Source organism: Homo sapiens, chromosome 16, assembly GCF_000001405.40.
Source record: "Homo sapiens chromosome 16, GRCh38.p14 Primary Assembly".
NCBI classification, from domain to species: domain Eukaryota; kingdom Metazoa; phylum Chordata; class Mammalia; order Primates; family Hominidae; genus Homo; species Homo sapiens.
The window spans coordinates 26,744,831-26,753,920 of record NC_000016.10 but is presented as its reverse complement, the minus strand read 5'-3'; the positions used below and the strand labels follow the sequence as shown (position 1 = coordinate 26,753,920).

General features: G+C 43.8%; 2 annotated features.

Moving 5' to 3' along the window:
• Positions 3,230-3,729: an enhancer, noted in NCBI's record as "OCT4-NANOG-H3K4me1 hESC enhancer chr16:26761513-26762012 (GRCh37/hg19 assembly coordinates)". NCBI's record gives its function as "activates a minimal SCP1, AML or CMV promoter by ChIP-STARR-seq in primed H9 embryonic stem cells {active_cell/tissue: H9 hESC(primed)}" and the evidence as "EXISTENCE:reporter gene assay evidence [ECO:0000049][PMID:30033119]".
• Positions 3,730-4,231: an enhancer, noted in NCBI's record as "OCT4-NANOG-H3K4me1 hESC enhancer chr16:26761011-26761512 (GRCh37/hg19 assembly coordinates)". NCBI's record gives its function as "activates a minimal SCP1, AML or CMV promoter by ChIP-STARR-seq in primed H9 embryonic stem cells {active_cell/tissue: H9 hESC(primed)}" and the evidence as "EXISTENCE:reporter gene assay evidence [ECO:0000049][PMID:30033119]".

Sequence of the window (9,090 nt, the reverse complement as noted above, 5' to 3'; positions counted from 1 at the left end):
CCTGAGTAGCTGTGATTACAGGCACCCACAACCATGCCTGGCTAATTTTTGTAGTTTTAGTAGAGATGGGGTTTCACCATGTTGGCCAGGCTGGTCTCGAACTCCTGACCTCAGGTGATCCACCTGCCTCGGCCTCCCAAAGTGCTGAAATTACAGGCATAAGCCACTGTGCCTGGCCATATTTAATTATTTATTGTGTGCATTTTCCACAAGACATGAAACCAAGGTACTTTTTCCATAAAGAGCCAGACTGGCAAATATTTTCGGCTTTGTGGACCACACAATGTCATCACAATGACTCAACTCTGCTGCTGTAGAGAAAAAGCAGTCATAGATGATGTGTAAATGAATTTGTGTGGTTGTTTCCCAATAAAATTTTATTTACAAAAACAGATGTGGGGCAGCTTTGGCACGTGTTCTAGTTTGCTGATCCCATCCCTGCACTTGGATCTTAAGATACGTGAGGAAGGGAACTTGGTCTGTTTTATTTGTTGCTGCATCTCTATGTCTTAGCATGGTGACTGGTACATGGCAGGAACTCAAAAGCATTAGCTAAGTGAACAACAAAGATAATCCTGTGTGGTTCATGCCTTTCCTCCCATCTACTGTTCCACTCAAGTGGAAACTCATAGCCGAATTTGTTCAACATTTGAAGCATTGGTTGTGCAACGTGTGGTCAGGTGTTGTTGAGGAGAAGAATTGGCCCCTATCTGTTGAGCAATGCCGCTGCAGGCCTTGCAGTTTTCAGTGCATCTCATTGATTTGCTGAGCATACTTCTCAGATGTAATCGTTTCCCCGGGATTCAGAAAGCGGTAGTGGATCAGACCGGCAGCAGACCAGCAAACAGCAAGGTGCAAAGTGCTTTGGAGCTTCTTCTCAGTTCAACCATTGAGCTGGTCGTCTTCAGTTGTCATATGACATCCACTTTTCATTGCATGTCACAATCTGATTGAGAAATGGTTCGTTGTTGCGTAGAATAAGAGAAGACGACATTTCAAAATGACGATTTGTTTTTATTTTTGCTCAGCTCATGAGGCACCCACTTATTGAACTTTTTCACATTTCTAAGTTGCTTCAAATGCTGAATGACTTAGAATGGTCGATGTTGAGTTCTTCAGCAACTTCTTATGTAGTTGTAAGAGGATCAGTTTCGATGATTGCTCTCCATTGGTCATTGTCAACTTCTGATGGCCGGCCACTATGCTCCTCATCTTCAAGGCTTTTGTGTCCTTTGCAAAACTTCTTGAACCATCTCTGCACTGTGCGTTTGGTAGCAGCTCCTGGCCCTAATGTATTGTTGATGTTGCAAATTGTCTCTGTTGCTTTATGACCTGTTTTGAACTCGAATAAGAAAATTGGTCAAATTTGTTTTTTGTCTAATATCACTTCCATAGTCTAAAATAAACATAAAGTAAACAGCAAGTAATAAGTCATTAGCAAAAAACATAGAGGGAGACATGTGCATTTAATGATGCATAACATCACCACATTTATTAAGAATGTATTCCAATATCGAATGTCAAATTTAAACAATACAAAAACCGCAATTACTTTTGCACCAACCCAACTTCTCTGGAAGGTCCAGGCCAGCTTTTAAAAGAGAGGTGGGGGCATGTGATTTTTAGAAGAGGCACTTCAAAGTGGCCCATCATTAGAATCTTTCATCAATAAAATAGCAAGCCAATATGAGATTCTAAGATTTTTACTAATTCATTTATTAACACAATTCAGCATACATTTTTCAAACATTGATGTGTGTGCTTCTTTTACTTCGTATTAGGTGCTGGCGATGCAGAAATGCAGAAGCTATTCTTACCTGAGAGATGTTTACAGCTGACTGCAGGTGACAGGCACATAAACAGATTATTCCAATAGGACAGGATAAGTACTATGAGGCAGACATCCAAAAGCCACCAGAAAGAAAGAGGAAGGGTCGTGAACTCTGCTGAGAAGTCAGGGGATGAGGTTATGGGTTATTATTGGACCTTTACTCAAGTATAAATCCATTTTCCACACGGACACAGTGGCTCACGCCTGCAATCCCAGAACTTTGGGAGGCCGAGGCAGGCTGATCATTTGAGGTCAGGAGTTCAAGACCAGCCTGGCCAACATGGTGAAACCCCATCTCTACCAAAAGTACAAAAATTAGCTGGATGTGGTGGCAGCTGCCTGTAATCCCAGCTACTTGAGAGGCTGAGGCAGGAGAATCACTTGCATCGAGGAGGCGGAGGTTGCGGTGAGCCAAGACCGCGCCACTGCACTCCAGCCTGGGTGACAGAGTGAGACTCCATCTCAAAAAAAAAAAAAAAATCATTTTCCACACGCGTGGTTAATGGATTGTTCCAGGCAGAGGAAACAGCATGTGCTCATGTTGGGACATGTGAGTGAGTACGAAGTATGTGGGGATCTGTGAGGAGGTTGGCGTGGCCATTGTGTATGCTACAGGGCGGTGCTGGAAGAAGCACTGCCTTTGGATGAGGCTAGAGAAGACAGCAGGGGCCAGACTCTGCTGGAGAGCTTGGACTTCATCCATAGGCACGGATACATCCTGAGCAAATAGGCTTGAAAGCATAAATATCACGGAGGGAGGGCTCCCTCTCTCCACTCACAATATCAGTTTAAGTACAAACAACACCAAGAAAATGAGCCTCTAGAAATAATCAAGTTTATACTTATTGTACTATGGTCATCGCCAGTGTAATCACTGACTTTCAATGCACAAATCTGATTTGTTTTTCCCTTTTCTCTAAGACAACAATATATATTGTTTCCTGCTTACTCTTAGTAGGATAAACAAATCACTTTCTTGCATACTGGCCTTTCACAGATGGGAGCACTATTAGATGTAAGGGTGTTTATGTAGCAGGAGAAGGATCGATTGTGCATGAGAAATCACACTGTGCTTCAGGACTGTCACACATACACACACACACACACACACACACACCCTACGGGGGTTGCCAATACATGAAATTTCTTACCTGCTGACACTTCTGGTGCAACTCTGGCAGACGGTACCTAGAGTGGGACAACATCTGATACCACAGGAGAGACCCTCGCTCGCTCCTTATTTAGCCCAAAGAGCTTGTTTGCTTTGCACTACTTTTCTCTATCTTACTTTCTAGGGTTGACTAACCTTGTCCAAAAAGCTCATTCATTATTTGAGATTTTCTACATTTCTACATTTGTGCTTCTAGAATGCTGTGTCACTAAACTAAGATGCTGGGCTTTGAAGATATGACAAGTGCAACATATCACAAAAGGAACTGAGCCACTGAATGTGGTCTCTGGCCTCCTGATTCTCTGCCATCACAGAGGCAGAAGAATCCCATGGTTGGGCATGCCCCAGAAACATCTTGAGGCTTCTAGAGGGAAACGTAAATACTGGCTAACAATTTCTGATTCTGTAACAGCAGGAGGGTCTCTAATCTTGGAACACCACGCCAGGTATCTAACTAGCTTTCTGAATGACAATGAACCAGTTGGGAGTGGGGATGGGGCACAAACTGATTTTGGAGGTCTCCTGTCTCAGCTCCTACCTCCTGTGGTTGTCACGATTATTTTCTTTTCTTTTTTTTTTTTTTTTTTGGGACGGAGTCTTGCTCTGTCGCCCAGGCTGGAGTGCAGTGGCGCGATCTCGGCTCACTGCAAGCTCCGCCTCCCAGGTTCACGCCATTCTCCTGCCTCAGCCTCCGGAGTAGCTGGGACTACAGGCGCCCGCCACCACGCCCGGCTAATTTTTTCGTATTTTTAGTAGAGACGGGGTTTCACCGTGTTAGCCAGGATGGTCTTGATCTGACCTCGTGATCCGCCTGCCTCTGCCTCCTAAAGTGCTGGGATTACAGGCGTGAACCACCGCGCCCGGCAGATTCTTTTTTCTTTTGCCTTGCACCCTTAAGAATAGACACTGACTATTCCTCTTGGAAATGGACTCTGTAGCAGTCATTTTAATTTGTGGGCATTTCCAGGCATGGCATATTGAATCCAGAAGCTTTCCTGGACACATTCATGAAGCATTTATGTAAAGATCATTGGAGAAGGAGAATTAAAATTCCAGATCCTATCACTAAGCCTGTGGCCTCAGGCAAGCCACTTTTCTTCTCTGAGCTTCAGTAGTCCCACCTTTAGATTGAAAATGTTGAACTGGCTCGGGGATGTTAGATGCCAAAAGGTGGCAAAGAGATAACAGAGCAATGAAGCAGGCTGGTTGTTTGTACACCAGCAAACACTGTGTGAGGGGCTGGAGAAGGGGGCTGTGGCACTGCAGAAGGGGGCCAGCCAGCTCCAGCTCTTTGCTTTCATGCAGGAACAGAAGCCTTGAGTTTGGAGAGCTTCTGGATTTTCCAAAAAAGCCTGTAGTCCAGATTTTATGAGAAATTTCTAAAATTTTATATGTAGACCTAACACTTTTGGAAACACTAAGCAAACCAAATAATCTCATCCATTGACCAAATTTCACCCTATGGGTGGGTCACCAGTCTCCATCCTCCAGATGGATTGGCCTGTCTCCCAGTTCTATTTTCCAGTGGTTCAATGATAGTATTAGTACTTTACCAGGGCTGGAGTTCCCAGTAATAACTTTGGGAGCCCTTCTGTGGTTGTTTAAAAAATAGGCCCTGTTATTTAGCTCTGCGATTTGGACAGGTCATTTCCCCTCTCTTTTGTAAAATGAAAAACAATGAGATCTATTTCCATGAGGCTGTTGTGAGAATTATAGGAAATGATGTGTCCAAACGAACATGCTCAGGGTATAACCACAAGTTATGCCTCCTTTCCTTCTTCACCTTTTCCATTTTGATTTTCATGTGCTCATTAAGTCACTCAATAAATAATAATCAAGCTCTTACTGTGGAACAGGCATCGTGCCAGGCACTGAGAATACAATAGTGAACAAGCTGGACAGACTCTCTGAACTCTGGGAAATGTTCGTAACCATGCAAGTAATCCTTATTGAATGCTAATTGTGTGCCAGGCATTATGCTTATTACCTTTATAAGATTAACCCTTTAATACTTGTAATCATCCTATAAAGTATTTACTATTATTATCCTTACTTACAGATTTTTAAAAAATGAGGCCAGATAAATACAAATTAAAACCACAATGAATGGCTACTATTAAAAAGTCAAAAAAACAACATATATTGGTGAGGCTGCATAGAAAAGAAAATGTTTACATACTGTGGGAATGTAAATTAGTACAACCTCTATGGAAAACAGTATGGAGATTTCTCATAGAACTCAAAGAACTAAAAATAGAACTACCATTTTATTCAGCAATCCCACTACTGGATATCTACCCAAAGGAAAAGAAATCATTATATCAAAGACACGCCTGTACTCGTATGTTTATCACAGCACTGTTTACAATTGAAAAGTCATGGAATCAACCTAAGTGCCCCTCAATGGATGATGCGGTAAAGAAACTGTGGTACATATAACATGGACTACCACTCAGCCATCAAAAGAATGAAATCGTGTCTTTTGCAGCAAAATGGAAGGAGCTATAGACCATTATCTAAGGAAAATAGCTCAGAAACAGAAAGTCAAATGCTGCATTTTCTCTCTTGTAAGCGGGAACTAAATAATATGTACACACAGACACACAGAAAGGAATTATAGACACTGGAGACTACAAAAGGTGGGAGGGTGGGAGGGGTTGAGGGATGCTAAATTACTTAATGGGTACGATATACACTATTCAGGTGATAGTTACACTAAAAGCTTAGGTTTCACCACTAGGCAATATATCCATGTAACAAAACTGCAACTGTACCCCTAAGTCTATAAAAAAAATAGAAGACCAGGAAAGGGATAAGTTACTTGCTTCAGGTTACAGAACTAATAATGATAGAGCTGGGTCTTTAATCCAGCTCTGCCTGACTCTAATCACTTAATACGCATTAATGATTTTAGGCAAGTGCGGCTAAGGCCAGGAAGCTAACAATAGGGAGGATGCCGTGCTGAGGCTAAGAGAGAAGAAATATGGGGATGTGGGAGCAGAGAGGAGGGGGGCTTATTCTAGTTGTGTGCGTGTGTGTGTCTGTGAGAAAGAGAGAGAGACAGAGCAAGAGGGAGAGAGAAAGAGAGAGCATATGGGGGACAGAAAGAGGGAGAGAGGGAGGAAGAGAGAGTGGGAGAGAGAGAGAAGGGGGAGAGGGGGAGAGAGAGAAAGGGAGACAGAGGGGAGAGAGAGAGAAAGGGGGGAAGGGAAAGAGAAAGAGTAGGGGAGAGAGAGGGGAGTGAGGGAGAAGAAGAGAGGGGGAAGGGAAGGAGTGGGAGAGAAAGAGTGGGATGGAGAGGGAGGGGGGAGGGAGAGGGAGGGAGAGAGAGAAAGAGTAGTAGAAAGAGCAGGGGAGGGAGGGAGACAGAGAGAGAGAGGAGGAGGGGGACAGAGAGCATGCAAGAGAAAGGCGGGAGAGACAGAGTGGGAGAGAGGGGAGAGAGAGAGCAGGAGGTGGAGAGAGAGAGCAGGAGGTGGGGAGAGAGAGGGTGAGAAAGAGAAAAAGAGAGAGGGGGAGAGAGAGAGGGAGAGAACAGGGAAAGAGAGAGAGGGAGAGAAAGAGAGGGACAGAGAGAGAGAGAGGAAGAGAGAGTGTTGGAGGAGAGAGAGCGAAGGAGCAGGGGTTAGGGAGAGATGGGAGTGGGACTGGTTAAGGAGCATGCTCCAGAGCACATGGCATCGAAGTTTGGGTCTGGAAGCTCCAAGGGTCTGATGAGAGTTCTGGAAGCACCTACAGGAATCACTGAGATGGCAGAATCCCTCTCTCTCCTTGGCTTCCTCACTTTGCTTCTCTTGTGTAAAGCGTCTCTCTGTCTCAAAAATAATAATCGATTGAAAAAGAAATCATATGGAGACAGCAGAGAGAAAGGGCAACCCCTTAATGTGGCATCAGAAGAGAAGTCTCCTCTGGGAAACAGGTGCCCACCTGATCTTCATCACTCCGCTTATTCCTCTTGCAGAATCCGTTCTCTGGGACCCGTAACTCCATGACAACGGCTCTGGGCCAAGTCACTCAGGGAAACAGAGTGGCCCGTGGTTAAGCCCAGGGGCTCGGGCATCAGATTCTTGAGGTCAAAGCCTGGCTTCTCCTCTCTGCTTCTGGGACCTTGGACTGGTTACCTAACATTCTTCTTGCCTCAGTTTCCCCATATGCCATATGAACTTCACAATAATAGGACTTAACTCTTACAGCAATTTGGATAGTCAAAAGAGATAATGAGGTGGATGGCTGATCAAGAAGCCTCCATATCATAGATGCTCAGCAGCTACTTGTGGATTAGGGAATCTGGAAAACGCAGAATCAAACTTATCTCTCCTTATTCAGCAATTGTTCTTTGAGCACCTTTTACACATTACATATGCCTAAGCAGTGATTATCTCATGTAATCCTCATGAAAACCTTGCAAAGTAAGCATTCTTAAACTTTTCTCGCAGATGATCTCTCAGCATCATTCAAGTTATTGAGCCCAGTTCTTTTCACGGGCAGATGGATGTCATGGAGCACCCCTAACTCATGGCCTTTGCAGATTCTTTTGCCTGGGATGTTTTTCCTTCTGCTATTCATAGGACATACTCCGGATTGTTCCAGAACTCTGTTCAAAAGTCACTTCCTCTGAGAAGCCTCCTCGACTTTTTTTTTTTTTTTTTTTTTTGAGATGAAGTCTCACTTTGTTGTCCAAGCTGGAGTGCAATGGCGCAATCTTGGCTCACTGCAACATCCACCTCCCAGGTTCAAGCGATTTTCCTGCCTCAGCCTCCCGAGTAGCTGGGACTACAGGCATGCACCACCACACCTGGCTAATTTTTGTATTTTTAGTACAGAAGGGGTTTCACTATGTTAGCCAGGCTGGTGTTGAACTCCTGGCCTAGTGATCTGCCTGCCTCAGCCTCCCAAAGTGCTGGGATTACAGGCGTGAGCCACCGCGCCCAGCCCCCCTGACCTCTTTATGTAAAACAGCACACCCGCAACCCTGTTAGTCTTTCATCCTGATTTATTTTTCTTCCTTTTAGCCGACATTTTATCTCTCTTCCCTGTCTTCCAACTTTCTTACTTAACTTCATCACTAGAACTCAAGCTTGGCAAAGATAGAAACGTGCTCTTGCTTGTCCAGTGCTATATTCCTAGTTCCTGAAAATCAATAAAATAGTTGCTCAATAAATGAATTGACACATGGATGGATGAGTGGAATAATGAATGGCTCGATAAGAAGATGGGTGGATAATTAGATGAGAAGGTAAATGGGAGAATGAATGAATAGGTGGATAGATGGTGAATGGATGGGTGGGTGGAGGGATGGAAACACATGGGATTTTGAGTCAGGCAGGCCTGGGAAAAAACCCTGGTTGTGTCTGTCACTTACGCCTGAGCTGTACATCCCTTCTCTATCCCTGAGTAATTCATTTGGCATCACTTTGAGCATTACTGAATCATTAAGAAACATGCTCACATCTTGTCCGGTGGTTTACTGTGTTCTGGGACATCACAGAGATCAGAGGTGGTTAAGAGCCAAGGTGAGGGAAGTCTGTTTTCTGTTCACTCCCAGACTTCAAGTAGAGCAGCTTCTACTTATCTGTCATAAACATGCAAATTCTGCATGAGATTGGAGTTCATTAGGAGAGTTAAGCTGCTACAAAATGAAACACACGCTGATCCTGAAATATGATCAAACTCTTTCATCTTATGGGTAATGAAATTGTTCCAGATATATGCATTTACTTCACTGAAGTCCCATGGGGATTGAATGTCATGGTTGAGACCTGGCTTAATTTTAACTCCAAGCTCAATTGTCTTTCCATCGTGTAATTCACTCATTTGTTTATTCAATCATTCAATGCACACTTATTGGTCTCCTACAACGTCATGGACCTGAGTCTCATACCTCAATCTAGGTGTTTGGGATATAGAGAAAAAACAGACAGGTAAGATTCCTGCACTCTTAGAACAGCCAGTAAACAAATAATTAAACCAGACAATTTTGAATATTAAACTAAGAAAAATCAGAACATGTTGTGTGGAAGGATGGCACTGATGGTGGTGGTAGGTGATCCTGGAACCCACTCAGAGGATATTAGGTACAAATAAGCAT